Source organism: Homo sapiens, chromosome 2 (genome assembly GCF_000001405.40).
Source record: "Homo sapiens chromosome 2, GRCh38.p14 Primary Assembly".
NCBI classification, from domain to species: Eukaryota; Metazoa; Chordata; class Mammalia; order Primates; family Hominidae; genus Homo; species Homo sapiens.
In genome coordinates, this window is record NC_000002.12 from 45060971 (window position 1) to 45081613 (window position 20643).

The following is a 20643-nucleotide window of genomic DNA, read 5'->3' on the forward strand; positions in this document are numbered from 1 at the left end:
TAGTTTGAAGTCAGGTAGTGTGATGCCTCCAGCTTTGTTCTTTTGGCTTAGGGTTGCCTTGGCGATGCGGGCTCTTTTTTGGTTCCATATGAACTTTAAAGTAGTTTTTTCCAATTCTGTGAAGAAAGTCATTGGTAGCTTGATGGGGATGGCATTGAATCTGTAAATTACCTTGGGCAGTATGGCCATTTTCACGATATTGATTCTTCCTACCCATGAGCATGGAATGTTCTTCCATTTGTTTGTATCCTCTTTTATTTCCTTGAGCAGTGGTTTGTAGTTCTCCTTGAAGAGGTCCTTCACATCCCTTGTAAGTTGGATTCCTAGGTATTTTCTTCTCTTTGAAGCAATTGTGAATGGGAGTTCACTCATGATTTGGCTCTCTGTTTGTCTGTTATTGGTGTATAAGAATGCTTGTGATTTTTGTACATTGATTTTGTATCCTGAGACTTTGCTGAAGTTGCTTATCAGCTTAAGGAGATTTTGGGCTGAGACAATGGGGTTTTCTAGATATACAATCATGTCGTCTGCAAACAGGGACAATTTGACTTCCTCTTTTCCTAATTGAATACCCTTTATTTCCTTCTCCTGCCTAATTGCCCTGTCCAGAACTTCCAACACTATGTTGAATAGGAGTGGTGAGAGAGGGCATCCCTGTCTTGTGCCAGTTTTCAAAGGGAATGCTTCCAGTTTTTGCCCATTCAGTATGATATTGGCTGTGGGTTTGTCATAGATAGCTCTTATTATTTTGAAATACGTCCCATCAATACCTAATTTATTGAGAGTTTTTAGCATGAAGGGTTGTTGAATTTTGTCAAAGGCTTTTTCTGCATCTATTGAGATAATCATGTGGTTTTTGTCTTTGGCTCTGTTTATATGCTGGATTACATTTATTGATTTGCATATATTGAACCAGCCTTGCATCCCAGGGATGAAGCCCACTTGACCATGGTGGATAAGCTTTTTGATGTGCTGCTGGATTCGTTTTGCCAGTATTTTATTGAGGATTTTTGCATCAATGTTCATCAAGGAGATTGGTCTAAAATTCTCTTTTTTGGTTGTGTCTCTGCCCGGCTTTGGTATCAGAATGATGCTGGCCTCATAAAATGAGTTAGGGAGGATTCCCTCTTTTTCTATTGATTGGAATAGTTTCAGAAGGAATGGTACCAGTTCCTCCTTGTACCTCTGATAGAATTCAGCTGTGAATCTCTCTGGTCCTGGACTCTTTTTGGTTGGTAAACTATTGGATTATTGCCACAATTTCAGCTCCTGTTATTGGTCTATTCAGAGATTCAACTTCTTCCTGGTTTAGTCTTGGGAGAGTGTATGTGTTGAGGAATTCATCCATTTCTTCTAGATTTTCTAGTTTATTTGCGTAGAGGTGTTTGTAGTATTCTCTGATGGTAGTTTGTATTTCTGTGGGATCGGTGGTGATATCCCCTTTATCATTTTTTATTGCGTCTATTTGATTCTTCTTTTTTTCTTTATTAGTCTTGCTAGCGGTCTATCAATTTTGTTGATCCTTTCAAAAAACCAGCTCCTGGATTCATTAATTTTTTGAAGGGGTTTTTGTGTCTCTATTTCCTTCAGTTCTGCTCTGATTTTAGTTATTTCTTGCCTTCTGCTAGTTTTTGAATGTGTTTGCTCTTGCTTTTCTAGTTCTTTTAATTGTGATGTTAGGGTGTCAATTTTGGATCTTTCCTGCTGTCTCTTGTGGGCATTTAGTGCTATAAATTTCCCTCTACACACTGCTTTGAATGCGTCCCAGAGATTCTGGTATGTTGTGTCTTTGTTCTCGTTGGTTTCAAAGAACAACTTTATTTCTGCCTTCATTTCGTTATGTATCCAGTAGTCATTCAGGAGCAGATTGTTCAGTTTCCATGTAGTTGAGCGGTTTTGAGTGAGATTCTTAATCCTGAGTTCTAGTTTGATTGCACTGTGGTCTGAGAGATAGTTCGTTATAATTTCTGTTCTTTTACATTTGCTGAGGAGAGCTTTACTTCCAAGTATGTGGTCAATTTTGGAATAGGTGTGGTGTGGTGCTGAAAAAAATGTATATTCTGTTGATTTGGGGTGGAGAGTTCTGTAGATGTCTATTAGGTCCGCTTGGTGCAGAGCTGAGTTCAATTCCTGGGTATCCTTGTTGACTTTCTGTCTCGTTGATCTGTCTAATGTTGACAGTGGGGTGTTAAAGTCTCCCATTATTAATGTGTGGGAGTCTAAGTCTCTTTGTAGGTCACTGAGGACTTGCTTTATGAATCTGGGTGCTCCTGTATTGGGTGCATATATATTTAGGATAGTTAGCTCTTCTTGTTGAATTGATCCCTTTACCATTATGTAATGGCCTTCTTTGTCTCTTTTGATCTTTGTTGGTTGAAAGTCTGTTTTATCAGAGACTAGGATTGCAACCCCTGCCTTTTTTTGTTTTCCATTTGCTTGGTAGATCTTCCTCCATCCTTTTATTTTGAGCCTATGTGTGTCTCTGCACATGAGATGGGTTTCCTGAATACAGCACACTGATGGGTCTTGACTCTTTATCCAATTTGCCAGTCTGTGTCTTTTAATTGGAGCATTTAGTCCATTTACATTTAAAGTTAATATTGTTATGTGTGAATTTGATCCTGTCATTATGATGTTAGCTGGTGATTTTGCACGTTAGTTGATGCAGTTTCTTCCTAGTCTCGATGGTCTTTACATTTTGGCATGATTTTGCAGCGGCTGGTACCGGTTGTTCCTTTCCATGTTTAGCGCTTCCTTCAGGAGCTCTTTTAGGCAGGCCTGGTGGTGACAAAATCTCTCAGCATTTGCTTGTCTGTAAAGTATTTTATTTCTCCTTCACTTATGAAGCTTAGTTTGGCTGGATATGAAATTCTGGGTTGAAAATTCTTTTCTTTAAGAATGTTGAATATTGGCCCCCACTCTCTTCTGGCTTGTAGAGTTTCTGCCGAGAGATCCGCTGTTTGTTAGTCTGATGGGCTTCCCTTTGAGGGTAACCCGACCTTTCTCTCTGGCTGCCCTTAACATTTTTTCCTTCATTTCAACTTTGGTGAATCTGACAATTATGTGTCTTGGAGTTGCTCTTCTCGAGGAGTATCTTTGTGGCGTTCTCTGTATTTCCTGAATCTGAACGTTGGCCTGCCTTGCTAGATTGGGGAAGTTCTCCTGGATAATATCCTGCAGAGTGTTTTCCAACTTGGTTCCATTCTCCCCATCACTTTCAGGTACACCAATCAGACGTAGATTTGGTCTTTTCACATAGTCCCATATTTCTTGGAGGCTTTGCTCGTTTCTTTTTATTCTTTTTTCTCTAAACTTCCCTTCTCGCTTCATTTCATTCATTTCATCTTCCCTCGCTGATACCCTTTCTTCCAGTTGATCGCATCGGCTCCTGAGGCTTCTGCATTCTTCACGTAGTTCTCGAGCCTTGGTTTTCAGCTCCATCAGCTCCTTTAAGCACTTCTCTGTATTGGTTATTCTAGTTATACATTCTTCTAAATTTTTTTTCAAAGTTTTCAACTTCTTTGCCTTTGGTTTGAATGTCCTCCCGTAGCTCAGAGTAATTTGATCGTCTGAAGCCTTCTTCTCTCAGCTAGTCAAAGTCATTCTCCATCCAGCTTTGTTCCGTTGCTGGTGAGGAACTGCGTTCCTTTGGAGGAGGAGAGGCGCTCTGCATTTTAGAGTTTCCAGTTTTTCTGTTCTGTTTTTCCCCATCTTTGTGGTTTTATCTACTTTTGGTCTTTGATGATGGTGATGTACAGATGGGTTTTTGGTGTGGATGTCCTTTCTGTTTGTTAGTTTTCCTTCTAACAGACAGGACCCTCAGCTGCAGGTCTGTTGGAATACCCTGCCGTGTGAGGTGTCAGTGTGCCCCTGCTGGGGGGTGCCTCCCAGTTAGGCTGCTCCGGGGTCAGGGGTCAGGGACCCACTTGAGGAGGCAGTCTGCCCGTTCTCAGATCTCCAGCTGCGTGCTGGGAGAACCACTGCTCTCTTCAAAGCTGTCAGACAGGGACATTTAAGTCTGCAGAGGTTGCTGCTGTCTTTTTGTTTGTCTGTGCCCTGCCCCCAGAGGTGGAGCCTACAGAGGCAGGCAGGCCTCCTTGAGCTGTGGTGGGCTCCACCCAGTTCGAGCTTCCTGGCTGCTTTGTTTAACTAAGCAAGCCTGGGCAATGGAGGGCGCCCCTCCCCCAGCCTCGCTGCCACCTTGCAGTTTGATCTCAGACTGCTGTGCTAGCAATCAGAGAGACTCCGTGGGCGTAGGACCCTCCGAGCCATGTGCGGGATATAATCTCGTGGTGCGCCGTTTTTTAAGCCGGTCCGAAAAGCGCAATATTCGGGTGGGAGTGACCCGATTTTCCAGGTGCGTCCGTCACCCCTTTCTTTGACTCAGAAAGGGAACTCCCTGACCCCTTGTGCTTCCCAAGCGAGGCAATGCCTCGCCCTGCTTCGGCTCGCGCACGGTGCGCGCACCCACTGACCTGCGCCCAGTGTCTGGCACTCCCTAGTGAGATGAACCCGGTACCTCAGATGGAAATGCAGAAATCACCCGTCTTCTGCGGCGCTCACGCTGGGAGCTGTAGACTAGAGCTGTTCCTATTTGGCCATCTTGGCTCCTCCCCCCTCTGCTTGGTTTTTGTTATGGGTTGAACTCTATCTCCCAAAAAGAAATGTTGAAGTCTTAACCCTAGTACCTATGAAAGTGACCTTCATCAGAATTAGGGTCTTTGCAGATGTAATCAAGTTACCATGCAGTCATACCGGATTAAGGGTAAGCCCTAATCCTATCACTGATGTCCTTATAAGAAGAGAAAGTTTAGACACCAGAGCCAGAGGCACAGGGAGAATACCGTGCGAAAATAGAGGCAGAGATTGGTGCGATGCCTCTACAAGCTGAGAAATGCCTAGGATTGCTGGCAGCCACCAGATACTGGGGGAGAGGCATGGGACGGATGCTCTTTCTGAGCACCCAGATGAAACTGCCCCAACCAACAGCTTTATTTTGGACTTCTTGCCTCTGGAACTGTGAGAGAATAAATTCCTGTTGTCATAACCCACCCGGTTTGTGGTAATTTGTTATGGCAGCCCTGGGAAAATAATACAGTTTCCTATCCCTCACTGTATTAGTCAGGGTATATATACATATACATATAATCAGGGTATATATACATATACATGTACATATATACACATATACCCTGACTAATACTTAATAAACTCCATATATATATATATAAGTACTTAACAAACTCTATAGATATATACATGGAGTTTGTTAAGTATTAGCTTACATGATCACAAGGTCCCACAATAGGCTGTCTGCAAGCTTGAGGAGCAAGGAGAGCCAGTCCAAGTCTCAAAACTGAAGCACTTGAAGTCTGATGTTTGAAGGTGGGAGGCATCCAGCATGGGAGAAAGATGTAGGCTGGGAGGCTAGGCCAGTCTCGCCTTTTCACTTTTTTCTGTCTGCTTTATATTCACTGGCAGCTGATTAGATTGTGCCCACCAGATTAAGGGTGGGTCTGCCTTTCCCAACCCAGTGACTCAAATGTTAATCTCCTGAGGCATTGCCCTCACAGACACACCCAGGATCAATACTTTGCATTCTTCAATCCAATCAAGTTGACTCTCAGTATTATTAACCATCACACTCAATTTATTGTAAGAAGAATGTTTCTTTTTCCTGGACTAAACAGGGGACTCCTTCAGAAATCCACTGGTTTCTTCTCTCTGGGACCCACCTGGATTTGGTTAAGAGGGTATTGTATGAATCCATCATGAGGCAAGAGAGGACAGTGGATAAAGAAATGACCTATTCTTGAGGCCACCAGAAAAGACTTATGGAGGCAGAAGCATGGCAGAAAACAGAACTTGGAAATGTAGGATAAAGAGCTAATTTGAGGAAGATGGGAGAACAGTGCGTGTCAAAGCACTTGGCATGATAAAGCATGGTGCCTATCACATTGTAGATGCACAATTAATGTCAGTAACAGAACGTTAAAGAGTGCAAGATGCCTTAAAAGCAGTGTAAACCATCCTATTGCATATGAACTGCTGTACATTTGCTGGATACAAGTTTTAGGCAAGAGCATTGTTACCTAAATTGGTTTGAGTGAATTGTCAAAGGTATACATCTGATGCATTGGGGGAAACCGAGGTTCTGGCCTCAGAAATCTGAGTTCTGGCTTTGACTCTGTTGGCTCCTATTTGTGTGACCTTGGGACCTCATTTGCAAAGTGGAGATAATAACTTTCTTTTTCTTTGTGGAATTGTGGAGATGAAATGAAATGACAAAGAATTTGAAAGTTCAAAGCATAATATGAACATTAACTGCAACGCACAATGTGAACATAAAGGATTATTATTGTTGTTGTTATCCATTTGCCAGTCTCTTTACTGCTCTGTGAATGCCCCATAACCATTTGAGCCTTTGCTCATGGTCTCTTTACGCACTTGGAAGTCTCTCTGTGTAAAGTTAGGATTAGGTTTAGATACAGTTAACAAAAAACTCAAAATGACAGTGGTGTGTTTCTCTCCCATATGCTAGTCTAGATGCACTCCAGGGCTGGTAAGGGTGACCCAGGATTCTTCTATCTTGATGTTCTGGTGTGCGTGGTTGCCATTTCCAAGGTCACCTTATGGCCCAAGATAGCTGCTGGACCTGCAGCCATTACAGCCGTATTTTAGCAAGGAGAAAGGAAAGACAGATGGCAGGCTTCCTGTCTTTAAGGACATTCTCTGGGAGTTACATATGCCATTTAAAAATATATCTCATTGGTCAGAACTTCATCATGTGAACACATCTAAGTTCTGGAGAAACTGGCAAAAATGGTTTTTATTCGGAGTGGTCATGTGCCCAGCTAAAAATCAGGGTTCTAATTCATAATCATACTTCAAAATCAAATTCAGTTTATCTGCAAAATAGTTTGTATTAGGCAAATAAAGAGCTCGTCCATAGTACGGTTTCATTATGCTAGTAAATGAGTGAAACGCTTTACATGGATGATCTCATTTAACCTGCAGCCCGGACCTGTGGGCTAGGCACCATCATTGTCTCAGTGTTCTAGATGAGGACCTATGGCTCAGAGTTGTAAAATGTCACTGCTTAGGTTTCCTGTGAAGCAACAACTCTGAGATGGAAATTAGCAATGAGTAGGCAGGATGTGTATTAGAGAGTGCTTTGGGGGATTAATACCTGCAAAAAGGAGGAGGGCATGGAAACAGGATAGGGCAGAGGGAAAAGCTGAGTTTCCGTTCATTTCAAGTAAGGGTCTCAGCTGACTCCCCAGGGACCTCTGGAGCTAGGATTGCCTTGCAGAGTTGTTCCAAGGCACTAGAGGGATCCCTCTGCTGATCACTCATTGGACACAAGCTGTCCTGGAAGGGAGCCTGACCCTGGGCAAATCACTCTCTCGGGCTGAGGCAATCCTTGTAGGAGGCTGACAGCTGAGGACTTTCTGCAGGCAGCTCTCCTGATGGCTACAAATTTAAGTCCTTCCTTCTTGAAACAAAATCCTGTAGGGATCAGAGAGCCCCCCCACATGAAGCCATTTGACTAAGCTTGCACTAAGTAGCAGGTGACAGAGCTGGGACTAGTACCCAGGACATGTGACCCCAGCAGTTGGGATCTTCCTGCTGTGCTGAGGCTTGCGGCAGTTAAACAGCTTGCTGAAAGTCACCGCTAGCAAGTCAAATCCATAATCCCAGCACCCTCCTGTGGGTTCTAAATCAGTTTACTATATCGTCTCCCTAGAGTCTCTGTTGGTACTTTCTCATGGGAAATCTCCCCTGTTTCCTGTGTTGCATCTTCTTTCTTCTCTCTAAACAAGGTCTGGCAGTTAATAGAGCTCTGGTCTCCTAGGGGCTCAGCCCTCTACCAGGTGGAATGGAGTTCTGAGGACATGATCCTGCCCCAGCAGGGTTGCAGGCCACTTGGTGAGCCGAGGTTATCACCCACTGCAATGTTGGCGATTGCGGCAGACAGAGGAGTACTGGGTACTGCCTTGTGAGTCATGTCTGGATGTGCCGTGGGGTTCAGAGGAAGGAAAGGTTCCCCGAGGCTGGATGAGAAGATTTGTGCTCATGCCAGCTCCACCCCCGCTCTCACCACACAGACTCCAGAGGCTGGAGCCATATTTCTCCTCTTTCAGAACCCATCAAGTGCTCAATAAGTGGGAAGGGATTTTAGAAACTTAGAACTGGAAGAAGATGGTCAAGTTTCTTAACTGAGAGATAGGAAAATAGAGGCCCAGAAAGCAGCATGGCTTGCCCAAGGGAACACAGCCAGGTGGCAGTAGCATGGCTGGCTTGAGAACCTGGGTTTCCCAACTCCCAGCTTCTCCACCACCATGAGCTGCCCCTGCTGAACAAGGACCATTCAGATGGGCTGGACACAGACTCCAGGCTGGTCCCTGCTTTCAGACATTCTCAGCAAAGCACTCAGGATCATCACTGTCACAATGAAGAGAGAAACAAAACACCGAATTGTAACTAGATGGCCTGTGGAAACACTCCACAGAACTCTGTAACTGATTTCTACCAGGCCCAGCTGCCTCCTTGTTAGTCCAAGGCAATTGCTCCAACAAAGGGGGATGGGGGGGAAGAGTAAAAATGTTCTATTTTGGGCTTATCACCTGGGACTTTCGACCATGGCGAGTCTGCAGAGAAGATTTAGGAATGATTCTATAGGAAGCCAGAGTGTGATAATCTTTAGATCGACAGTTCAATATGCAGAAAGCTCTTGCCTACCGCCCAAGAGAGGCTTCCTAATACACTGTAACCTGCATCTTCCTCCTAAAACATCTTAGCTCCATGAAGCAATAAAACAGTCTGGCCTAAGTTACTGAGCTTCTTTGAAGTCCCAGAGAGGCCCATAAATAAGGTAGGTACTTTGGAAGGGGGGGGCACTCATTTTGAGGGGTCCCTACGCAACTCTTTCAGAGCCACATTGATTTGTAGCTGCCTCTAAGTCAATTTCCTGGGGCTCATAAATCTTGATTCGAGCAAAACTAAAATGCCATCAATATTTATTTGATGCATTTATTGTCACTCCACAGAAAAAAAAATAAAAAGTCAGCATTCTCATCCGCCACCCCGGAGAAGGTATGGAACATAGCCATCCCTGGCTCCTCACAGACCATTTCGTTGTGAACCATAAACCCCACCCAGGTAACAAATGTACCATTTCATGGTCAGCAAGAGCGGTAACTGTCACTGGAGAAATAAAACTGAGTTATTGTTTCCAGTTTCCAAAGAACAGCAACAAGTATAAAAAAAAAAACCTGTATGTGATCCCTGTCCTCTTCCCCTCAAGACACCTGCAGCCGTCTAATGTTTCACTGAATCCTGCCACATAAATGCATAGCTTCACTCACTAATCCATATGGCTCCAGAGACCACTGTTACATGAGAACTTAAACTGATGGGGCCAGGCAGCCCAGGGCAGCTTAATCTTTTTTAATTCAAATCGACTGAGTCCCATGTGGCCCGGAGATGATACCCTATATGCTGCAATCAGACTGACCTAGACTTCTTGTGCTCTAAATGATTAATGAAACTGCCTCGAGTTTGTTTCTATGGTGACTGGAAACCCGACCCGGACAGAGGAATCTGCCATTCACGGTGAATGGAACGGAAAGAGGGGAACAGGGGGACCCTGGCTGCTGGTGCTGGTCTTGAAGAGAAGATGCCCAAATGCCTCAACTCCTCCCCCAGGCCGCTGCTGTGGGTTCAGAAATTGCAGTGAGGGGAGAGGAAGAAAATGGCCCTCCTAGGGAAGTTTTAACTCAACAAAACTGCAGAATTATTTTATTCTCCCAAAGTATTCCTAAAGCAAATGACCAAAGAAGAATTGAGGGAAGTTAGTATTTAATTCACATTTGGTTTCCTAAAATAAATACATGAGTAACTTAAAGAAAACAAAACCATAAAATCTTTGATTCCTTCTTTAGAATGAATGGTTTTTGTCTACTATGAACATGACAAGAGCTGCTGAGTATTTCGCATGACCTGTGCACTCTCTGGTTCTATGTAGTTTTATTTGTTTCCCCTCCTTATTTAACATAGGCTGAATTTGGGCTTCATGCAGCAAAACTTTGCTGTCAGAACTGTCAGAGGCCAGCTGAGCAGAACTTGGGGGGAATTACATGCAGCTGGTGGAGAAGCAATGGATGTGAAGAGTTTGTGCCAAGGGTTACCTGCTGCCATCCACCTGGCACGACAGTTGGGTCCTGCTTCAGGATGGAGTTGATCCTAGCTTTCTCAGCAGAGCCTCCAAACCCTGCCAGGTGCCCAAGTGCCACAAAATACGGAACCTTTAGAGAGGTCTCATACAGGGACCACCAAAGGACAAATGTGAACATCTGAAATCTGATGCCTCGTCCAATTGCTATTGACCGAGGGATGGTGAGTATGGGAGTTCATGGGGGCATCCTTTCCTGCTTTCTTCCCTCCTGCTCACCTACCTTTCTTCATTTGATCTCTAGCTACTTCCTTCAACACTCAGTCCCCCTGCACATCAGCCTGTGATGCCTTGTATTTCCCATAGAAGAAATTCCAGACTTTTGTAAGACACATGCAGGTACCTACGAGGTTCTGCCCACCTTCCATCCCAGCTTCGTCTCCCACTCATCTCTGCTGACTGACTGTTCACTGCCTGACCTATGTCCATGACTTGCCAGTTCTCTGCCTTTGCTTGCACTGTTCCCTCTGTCTGCAATGCCTTCCCCATCTCCATCTGTTGGAATGCTCCTTTTCCCCACGTTCCAGCTCTGATGCCATCTCCACAACAGGCATCTCAGCTCCTCAGGCACAGGGTCTCTTCCCTGCCTCTCTTCCCCACTGTGGTATCTTTTATAATAAACAGTACCCCTGACTCTGCCTTGCATGATGGGAAATCTTGTTCTTGGTCACAGAGCTCGGCACATAGCACGTGCTCAATCTGTGTTTGCCAACTTGAATTTCTATTTCCAACCTTACTTCTAGCTGGTAGGGTCATCTGGCCACACTATCTGTTATCCCCATGATGGTCACTGCTTGCTGTCCCTGAGTCAACAAAGGCTTCAGGACTTTGTGGCTCAGAAAACAGTGAGGGATGCTTCTGGGAAGGCAACCAGGAACTGCTCCACTCAGCTCTAAGCCTCTCTTCCCACCAAGCTGGAGCTCATCTGGCCTAAGTTTCTGCAAATTGAAACCTTCCCTGTTGAAGGCCTGAGTGGTCTAAACCAGGGCTCAGCGGTGTTCAGAGGGTCTGGCCAAGCCCTGCCTCCCATCCTGGCCCCTCTATGGCGGCATGGTTGGCTGCCGGCAGCCGGGGCTGGGCCACACCTGTCGGGCAGGGCCCTCCCTCTGCCCTTGGCAGGAGGAGAACCTGAGTGGGAACAGGCCTAAGCCAGTCTCTCACCCATCCACTTAGACGTTTTTGCAAGCCACTTCCTGGTGAGGGATCCCTTTGCCTTATCTGAGTCCCCTGTGGAAGTGGATATCATGTGTGCCTGCTCTGCTCCCTGAAGACACAGGTGGTAAAACTTGGGTGTGGGGCCCTGGCAGGGAAGGAGTAGTGTTGAGATGCCTAGAAACAGATATTCGGGTGAGCAGAGTAGAAGGGAAGAGTATGTTAACACAGGGTGACTGTCTGTCCTGGCAGGTAAACCTGGTGGGGAGGGTTACGTCCACAGCATAGGGTCCACTTTGCCAAATTATAGACCTCGCCCCATCCTGCTCATCTGGAGTCACCCCATGCTGCAGCACAGAGCTCAGAGAAGGCCCCTTACTCACTGTCCTGGCCACTGCTTCTTCATTTGTCTGAAGGACAAGCTTGCAGCCCCTGCATCTGTAACACTTTGTGAGTGGTAAAGAATCTCTCTCCCCTGTTCCCCTTCATCTCCCCTTGTCAACCCCCTTTCTGCCCTAAATGCAACCTGTCATGGCTATTCATTTTTTCAGATTGCATTTTATTCTGAAGGGCTCCAAAAAGCCCCTATCCTCCATCCAGAAGGCTCTTTCAGGGACCCGAAGAGTGCTCTGCCCAGGCCTGGCGTGGCGAGTGGACTGGTGGGTGACCTCAGACAACGTGGGGACTGAGTCAGCCGCTGCAGGGAGGAAAGTGAGACTTGCAGGAGACACTGAGAGGGAAGTGAAGCCATGAATATTTAGACAGAGGGAGAGTGGAATTCAACCTGACACTGATACACAGGAGGATTGGATTGATAGCAATAGCCTAAAATTAGAAGCGGTCTACGGGGGAGTTCGGAGTTCAGGCTCTGGAGACAGACTGGGTGAAAAACTCTGAATTGGCCACTTACTAGCCCAGTAACCTTGGGCAAACTGATCAACCTGTCTGTGCCTCAGCTCCCTCATATGTAAAGTAATCTCTACTTTACCTTAATAGACTTCCTCTACGGGATCGTTGTGAGGATTAAGTGACTTCTTGCAACAGTGCTTGGCACATGGTAAGCACATACTTGTTGCATTATAACAGAATAAAGATCCTGTCTTAGGTCTGTTGGGATCTTTCTTTCATCTAGAGTGCCTTTTGCTGCTTTCCAAATCCCCCTTCCACCCTTTTATTTGTTTTGGAGGAAAGAAGTGTGCCATGGGCTGTGGACTGAAAGTTCGTGTCCCCCACAAAATTCATACATTGAAATCCTAACCCCCAAAGTGACAGTATTAGGAGGTGGAGCATTTGGGAGGTGATTTGGTCATGAGGGTGGAGCCTTCATGCACGGGATTAGTGCCCTTATCAAAGGGACCCCAGAGAGCTCTCTAGTTCTCCCTCTGCCATGTGAGGACACAGAGAAGTTAGCAGTCTGCAACCTGGAAGAAGGCCCTCGCCAAAACCCGGCCATGCTGGCGTCCTGATCTTGAAAGTCCAGTCTCCAGAACTGTGAGAAATAAGTATTTGTCTTTTAAGCCACCCAGCCCATGGTAATTTGTTACAGCAGCCCAAGAGGACTGAGATAGATGGTCTAGATCAGCACTGTCCAATAGAAATACGCAAAACACATATGAAATTAAAAATTCCTAGAAGCCACATTAAAAAATAAAGAGAAACAGGTAACATTAATTTCAATTACATATTCCACTTAATTCAATATTTCTAAAACATTATCCTTTCAATATGTAATCAATACAAAGATTTGTCAAAGAGCTACTTTGCTTTTTTTTGTTTACTAATCTTTGAAATCCTGTCTATATTTTACTTATAGCACATTTCAATTCAGGCACTAGATCATCATCTGAAATACTTGATTATATTTAGATTTCATCAAATTGACAATTGAACAAGTAGATCCACATACCCAAGTTGTTCCATACAACTTCCCAGTAACTGAAACCAGTATCAGTTTTTAAAGTAAAATTAGTTAAAATGAAATGAAATTCTAGTTCTTCAGGTGCACCAGCCACATTTCAAGTGCTCAGGGGCTACATGTGGCTACTGTATTGAACAGTGCAGGTCTAGAGGTTGCTATGGGGAGGACTTAGCATGGAGAATGGTGTCTGGCTGTAGGAATCTCAGGCACAAGGAACTTACAAGAACAGAGACTCTGGCAACATCCTCAGCTTGTTTCTATTATGGTGGGAGGCAGGTAGGGTGGTGTGGGGACAGGGGTGTAAAGAGAATTGCTTGTTCCTTCAAGAACAAATGCATACCACTACTCACTGTCTACCAGCTGCTGCCCTGGGTGCCAGGGATGCGGTGTGAGTTAGCAGGGAGAGAAGGGACCAGACAAATCCAAGTATTTACTGGAGATATTGATGGAAAGACAATAATACCAGCCGTTGGCATTTGTCTGTTATGAGAAGCCTTCCTGGCCACCATCTCTTTTGGATCTTCACAGCAGCTGAGACTCAGGGAGGGCTCAGGACGTTAAGTGACTTGCCCATAGCATGTGTGGGGAGGAACAAAGGGCAAAGTGCAGGGCTTCTGAACCCAGGTGCAGGCTCTGTGACTTGCTGTCTTCACTCTGGACAAAGGGCTGAAAGGCCGTCATGTGTGGGGCCTCCTGTTGCATGATTTGTAACCATGGTGGTGGGAGGGGTCTCTGGGGAGGCAAACAACTTCAGCTGGGCAGTGGAGGCCTCCCATCCATGATGTCCCCTTCATCTAGGGCCTTTTGCGGTACACAAGGTCTGGTTCCTGCCTCAATTTGTTCCTATGGTGAAAGAGTTATAACTGGAGACACAGAGAATAAAAACTGAAGGAAAAATGAACAAGTAGGGCTCCTCCAGGTGCCCCTGCAGAAGTGCTTCTGGTCTCCCTTCCCCATCTCCCTTGCCCTCCCTGCTGCCTCCAGGTGCATTCTGGAGAGCTGTACCTTTTGGGCATGGCTGTTTAGGGGGCAGCCTTTGCTTACTCAGTGTTGTGCTGGGGCAGGGATGAGAGGGATTTGGCACAAGGTGGTAATCATATCTCCACCACAGGACCTCATCAGCACAGCACAGGGTGTTTGCAGAATAAGTGGGTGAAGGAAACAGAGGATCACCCCAAGCTCTTCATCTAACGAACCTAAGCAGATCACTGAAGTTCTCTAATTGGTGACCCTCCACACATCCCACTGGCTGGGCAGTGATCTGCAAGCCAGGCAAGACCACTGTCCCTCTGCTTTCAAGATGTCTGGCTCTGATTTCCCTACTTATATTAGGCCTGTCCTTTCCTCCTAACAGAGTCTAGACAACAAAGGTTTCTCTTGTTCCCTCTTTGACCTGGGACTTAATTCGACAAGAGGCCACAGAGCCCATGTGCTGACTTGGTGAACACAGCATCCCAAAGAGACTGTGTGGGGGGAGGAGCCAAGATGGCTGAATAGGAACAGCTCAGGTCTACAGCTCCCAGTGTGAGCGACGCAGAAGATGGGTGATTTCTGCATTTCCATCTGAGGTACCGGGTTCATCTCACTAGGGAGTGCCAGAGAGTGGGCGCAGGTCAGTGGGTGCACGCACCGTGCGCGAGCCGAAGCAGGGCGAGGCATTGCCTCACTTGGGAAGTGCAAGGGGTCAGGGAGTTCCCTTTCCGAGTCAAAGAAAGGGGTGACGGACGCACCTGGAAAATCGGGTCACTCCCACCCGAATATTGCGCTTTTCGGACCGGCTTAAAAAACGGCGCACCACGAGATTATATCCCGCACATGGCTCGGAGGGTCCTACGCCCACGGAGTCTCTCTGATTGCTAGCACAGCAGTCTGAGATCAAACTGCAAGGTGGCAGCGAGGCTGGGGGAGGGGCGCCCTCCATTGCCCAGGCTTGCTTAGTTAAACAAAGCAGCCAGGAAGCTCGAACTGGGTGGAGCCCACCACAGCTCAAGGAGGCCTGCCTGCCTCTGTAGGCTCCACCTCTGGGGGCAGGGCACAGACAAACAAAAAGACAGCAGCAACCTCTGCAGACTTAAATGTCCCTGTCTGACAGCTTTGAAGAGAGCAGTGGTTCTCCCAGCACGCAGCTGGAGATCTGAGAACGGGCAGACTGCCTCCTCAAGTGGGTCCCTGACCCCTGACCCCGGAGCAGCCTAACTGAGAGGCACCCCCCAGCAGGGGCACACTGACACCTCACACGGCAGGGTATTCCAACAGACCTGCAGCTGAGGGTCCTGTCTGTTAGAAGGAAAACTAACAAACAGAAAGGACATCCACACCAAAAACCCATCTGTACATCACCATCATCAAAGACCAAAAGTAGATAAAACCACAAAGATGGGGAAAAACAGAACAGAAAAACTGGAAACTCTAAAATGCAGAGCGCCTCTCCTCCTCCAAAGGAACGCAGTTCCTCACCAGCAACGGAACAAAGCTGGATGGAGAATGACTTTGACTAGCTGAGAGAAGAAGGCTTCAGACGATCAAATTACTCTGAGCTACGGGAGGACATTCAAACCAAAGGCAAAGAAGTTGAAAACTTTGAAAAAAATTTAGAAGAATGTATAACTAGAATAACCAATACAGAGAAGTGCTTAAAGGAGCTGATGGAGCTGAAAACCAAGGCTCGAGAACTACGTGAAGAATGCAGAAGCCTCAGGAGCCGATGCGATCAACTGGAAGAAAGGGTATCAGCGAGGGAAGATGAAATGAATGAAATGAAGCGAGAAAGGAAGTTTAGAGAAAAAAGAATAAAAAGAAATGAGCAAAGCCTCCAAGAAATATGGGACTATGTGAAAAGACCAAATCTACGTCTGATTGGTGTACCTGAAAGTGATGGGGAGAATGGAACCAAGTTGGAAAACACTCTGCAGGATATTATCCAGGAGAACTTCCCCAATCTAGCAAGGCAGGCCAACGTTCAGATTCAGGAAATACAGAGAACGCCACAAAGATACTCCTCGAGAAGAGCAACTCCAAGACACATAATTGTCAGATTCACCAAAGTTGAAATGAAGGAAAAAATGTTAAGGGCAGCCAGAGAGAAAGGTCGGGTTACCCTCAAAGGGAAGCCCATCAGACTAACAAACAGCGGATCTCTCGGCAGAAACCCTACAAGCCAGAAGAGAGTGGGGGCCAATATTCAACATTCTTAAAGAAAAGAATTTTCAACCCAGAATTTCATATCCAGCCAAACTAAGCTTCATAAGTGAAGGAGAAATAAAATACTTTACAGACAAGCAAATGCTGAGAGATTTTGTCACCACCAGGCCTGCCCTAAAAGAGCTCCTGAAGGAAGCGCTAAACATGGAAAGGAACAACCGGTACCAGCCGCTGCAAAATCATGCCAAAATGTAAAGACCATCGAGACTAGGAAGAAACTGCATCAACTAACGTGCAAAATCACCAGCTAACATCATAATGACAGGATCAAATTCACACATAACAATATTAACTTTAAATGTAAATGGACTAAATGCTCCAATTAAAAGACACAGACTGGCAAATTGGATAAAGAGTCAAGACCCATCAGTGTGCTGTATTCAGGAAACCCATCTCACGTGCAGAGACACACATAGGCTCAAAATGAAAGGATGGAGGAAGATCTACCAAGCAAATGGAAAACAAAAAAAGGCAGGGGTTGCAATCCTAGTCTCTGATAAAACAGACTTTCAACCAACAAAGATCAAAAGAGACAAAGAAGGCCATTACATAATGGTAAAGGGATCAATTCAACAAGAAGAGCTAACTATCCTAAATATATATGCACCCAATACAGGAGCACCCAGATTCATAAAGCAAGTCCTCAGTGACCTACAAAGAGACTTAGACTCCCACACATTAATAATGGGAGACTTTAACACCCCACTGTCAACATTAGACAGATCAACGAGACAGAAAGTCAACAAGGATACCCAGGAATTGAACTCAGCTCTGCACCAAGCGGACCTAATAGACATCTACAGAACTCTCCACCCCAAATCAACAGAATATACATTTTTTTCAGCACCACACCACACCTATTCCAAAATTGACCACATACTTGGAAGTAAAGCTCTCCTCAGCAAATGTAAAAGAACAGAAATTATAACGAACTATCTCTCAGACCACAGTGCAATCAAAGTAGAACTCAGGATTAAGAATCTCACTCAAAACCGCTCAACTACATGGAAACTGAACAATCTGCTCCTGAATGACTACTGGATACATAACGAAATGAAGGCAGAAATAAAGTTGTTCTTTGAAACCAACGAGAACAAAGACACAACATACCAGAATCTCTGGGACGCATTCAAAGCAGTGTGTAGAGGGAAATTTATAGCACTAAATGCCCACAAGAGACAGCAGGAAAGATCCAAAATTGACACCCTAACATCACAATTAAAAGAACTAGAAAAGCAAGAGCAAACACATTCAAAAGCTAGCAGAAGGCAAGAAATAACTAAAATCAGAGCAGAACTGAAGGAAATAGAGACACAAAAACCCCTTCAAAAAATTAATGAATCCAGGAGCTGGTTTTTTGAAAGGATCAACAAAATTGATAGACCGCTAGCAAGACTAATAAAGAAAAAAAGAAGAATCAAATAGACGCAATAAAAAATGATAAAGGGGATATCACCACCGATCCCACAGAAATACAAACTACCATCAGAGAATACTACAAACACCTCTACGCAAATAAACTAGAAAATCTAGAAGAAATGGATGAATTCCTCGACACATACACTCTCCCAAGACTAAACCAGGAAGAAGTTGAATCTCTGAATAGACCAATAACAGGAGCTGAAATTGTGGCAATAATCCAATAGTTTACCAACCAAAAAGAGTCCAGGACCAGAGAGATTCACAGCTGAATTCTATCAGAGGTACAAGGAGGAACTGGTACCATTCCTTCTGAAACTATTCCAATCAATAGAAAAAGAGGGAATCCTCCCTAACTCATTTTATGAGGCCAGCATCATTCTGATACCAAAGCCGGGCAGAGACACAACCAAAAAAGAGAATTTTAGACCAATCTCCTTGATGAACATTGATGCAAAAATCCTCAATAAAATACTGGCAAAACGAATCCAGCAGCACATCAAAAAGCTTATCCACCATGGTCAAGTGGGCTTCATCCCTGGGATGCAAGGCTGGTTCAATATATGCAAATCAATAAATGTAATCCAGCATATAAACAGAGCCAAAGACAAAAACCACATGATTATCTCAATAGATGCAGAAAAAGCCTTTGACAAAATTCAACAACCCTTCATGCTAAAAACTCTCAATAAATTAGGTATTGATGGGACGTATTTCAAAATAATAAGAGCTATCTATGACAAACCCACAGCCAATATCATACTGAATGGGCAAAAACTGGAAGCATTCTCTTTGAAAACTGGCACAAGACAGGGATGCCCTCTCTCACCACTCCTATTCAACATAGTGTTGGAAGTTCTGGACAGGGCAATTAGGCAGGAGAAGGAAATAAAGGGTATTCAATTAGGAAAAGAGGAAGTCAAATTGTCCCTGTTTGCAGACGACATGATTGTATATCTAGAAAACCCCATTGTCTCAGCCCAAAATCTCCTTAAGCTGATAAGCAACTTCAGCAAAGTCTCAGGATACAAAATCAATGTACAAAAATCACAAGCATTCTTATACACCAATAACAGACAAACAGAGAGCCAAATCATGAGTGAACTCCCATTCACAATTGCTTCAAAGAGAAGAAAATACCTAGGAATCCAACTTACAAGGGATGTGAAGGACCTCTTCAAGGAGAACTACAAACCACTGCTCAAGGAAATAAAAGAGGATACAAACAAATGGAAGAACATTCCATGCTCATGGGTAGGAAGAATCAATATCGTGAAAATGGCCATACTGCCCAAGGTAATTTACAGATTCAATGCCATCCCCATCAAGCTACCAATGACTTTCTTCACAGAATTGGAAAAAACTACTTTAAAGTTCATATGGAACCAAAAAAGAGCCCGCATCGCCAAGGCAACCCTAAGCCAAAAGAACAAAGCTGGAGGCATCACACTACCTGACTTCAAACTATACTACAAGGCTACAGTAACCAAAACAGCATGGTACTGGTACCAAAACAGAGATATAGATCAATGGAACAGAACAGAGCCCTCAGAAATAATGCCGCATATCTGCAACTGTCTGATCTTTGACAAACCTGAGAAAAACAAGCAATGGGGAAAGGATTCCCTATTTAATAAATGGTGCTGGGAAAACTGGCTAGCCATATGTAGAAAGCTGAAACTGGATCCCCTCCTTACACCTTATACAAAAATCAATTCAAGATGGATTAAAGACTTAAACGTTAGACCTAAAACCATAAAAACCCTAGAAGAAAACCTAGGCATCACCATTCAGGACATAGGCATGGGCAAGGACTTCATGTCCAAAACACCAACAGCAATGGCAACAAAAGCCAAAATTGACAAATGGGATCTAATTAAACTAAAGAGCTTCTGCACAGCAAAAGAAACTACCATCAGAGTGAACAGGCAACCTACAAAATGGGAGAAAATTTTCACAACCTACTCATCTGACAAAGGGCTAATATCCAGAATCTACAATGAACTCAAACAAATTTACAAGAAGAAAACAAACAACCCCATCAAAAAGTGGGTGAAGGACATGAACAGACACTTCTCAAAAGAAGACATTTATGCAGCCAAAAACCACATGAAAAAATGCTCATCATCACTGGCCATCAGAGAAATGCAAATCAAAACCACAATGAGATACCATCTCACACCAGTTAGAATGGCAATCATTAAAAAGTCAGGAAACAACAGGTGCTGGAGAGGATGTGGAGAAATAGGAACACTTTTACACTGTTGGTGGGACTGTAAGCTAGTTCAACCCTTGTGGAAGTCAGTGTGGCGATTCCTCAGGGATCTAGAACTAGAAATACCATTTGACCCAGCCATCCCATTTCTGGGTATATACCCAAAGGACTATAAATCTTGCTGCTATAAAAACACATGCACACGTATGTTTATTGCGGCATTATTCACAATAGCAAAGACTTGGAACCAACCCAAATGTCCAACAATGATAGACTGGATTAAGAAAATGTGGCACATATACACCATGGAATACTATGCAGCCATAAAAAATGATGAGTTCATGTCCTTTGTAGGGACATGGATGAAATTGGAAATCATCATTCTCAGTAAACTATCGCAAGAACAAAAAACCAAACACCGCATATTCTCACTCATAGGTGGGAATTGAACAATGAGAACACATGGACACAGGAAGGGGAATATCACACTCTGGGGACTGTGGT

General features: G+C 44.6%; 4 annotated features.

The window, feature by feature from the left end:
* Positions 3743-4361: an enhancer, noted in NCBI's record as "NANOG-H3K27ac-H3K4me1 hESC enhancer chr2:45291852-45292470 (GRCh37/hg19 assembly coordinates)". NCBI's record gives its function as "activates a minimal SCP1, AML or CMV promoter by ChIP-STARR-seq in primed H9 embryonic stem cells {active_cell/tissue: H9 hESC(primed)}" and the evidence as "EXISTENCE:reporter gene assay evidence [ECO:0000049][PMID:30033119]".
* Positions 10788-11289: an enhancer, noted in NCBI's record as "H3K4me1 hESC enhancer chr2:45298897-45299398 (GRCh37/hg19 assembly coordinates)". NCBI's record gives its function as "activates a minimal SCP1, AML or CMV promoter by ChIP-STARR-seq in naive H9 embryonic stem cells {active_cell/tissue: H9 hESC(naive)}" and the evidence as "EXISTENCE:reporter gene assay evidence [ECO:0000049][PMID:30033119]".
* Positions 11290-11789: an enhancer, noted in NCBI's record as "H3K4me1 hESC enhancer chr2:45299399-45299898 (GRCh37/hg19 assembly coordinates)". NCBI's record gives its function as "activates a minimal SCP1, AML or CMV promoter by ChIP-STARR-seq in naive and primed H9 embryonic stem cells {active_cell/tissue: H9 hESC(naive and primed)}" and the evidence as "EXISTENCE:reporter gene assay evidence [ECO:0000049][PMID:30033119]".
* Positions 14955-15619: an enhancer, noted in NCBI's record as "H3K27ac-H3K4me1 hESC enhancer chr2:45303064-45303728 (GRCh37/hg19 assembly coordinates)". NCBI's record gives its function as "activates a minimal SCP1, AML or CMV promoter by ChIP-STARR-seq in primed H9 embryonic stem cells {active_cell/tissue: H9 hESC(primed)}" and the evidence as "EXISTENCE:reporter gene assay evidence [ECO:0000049][PMID:30033119]".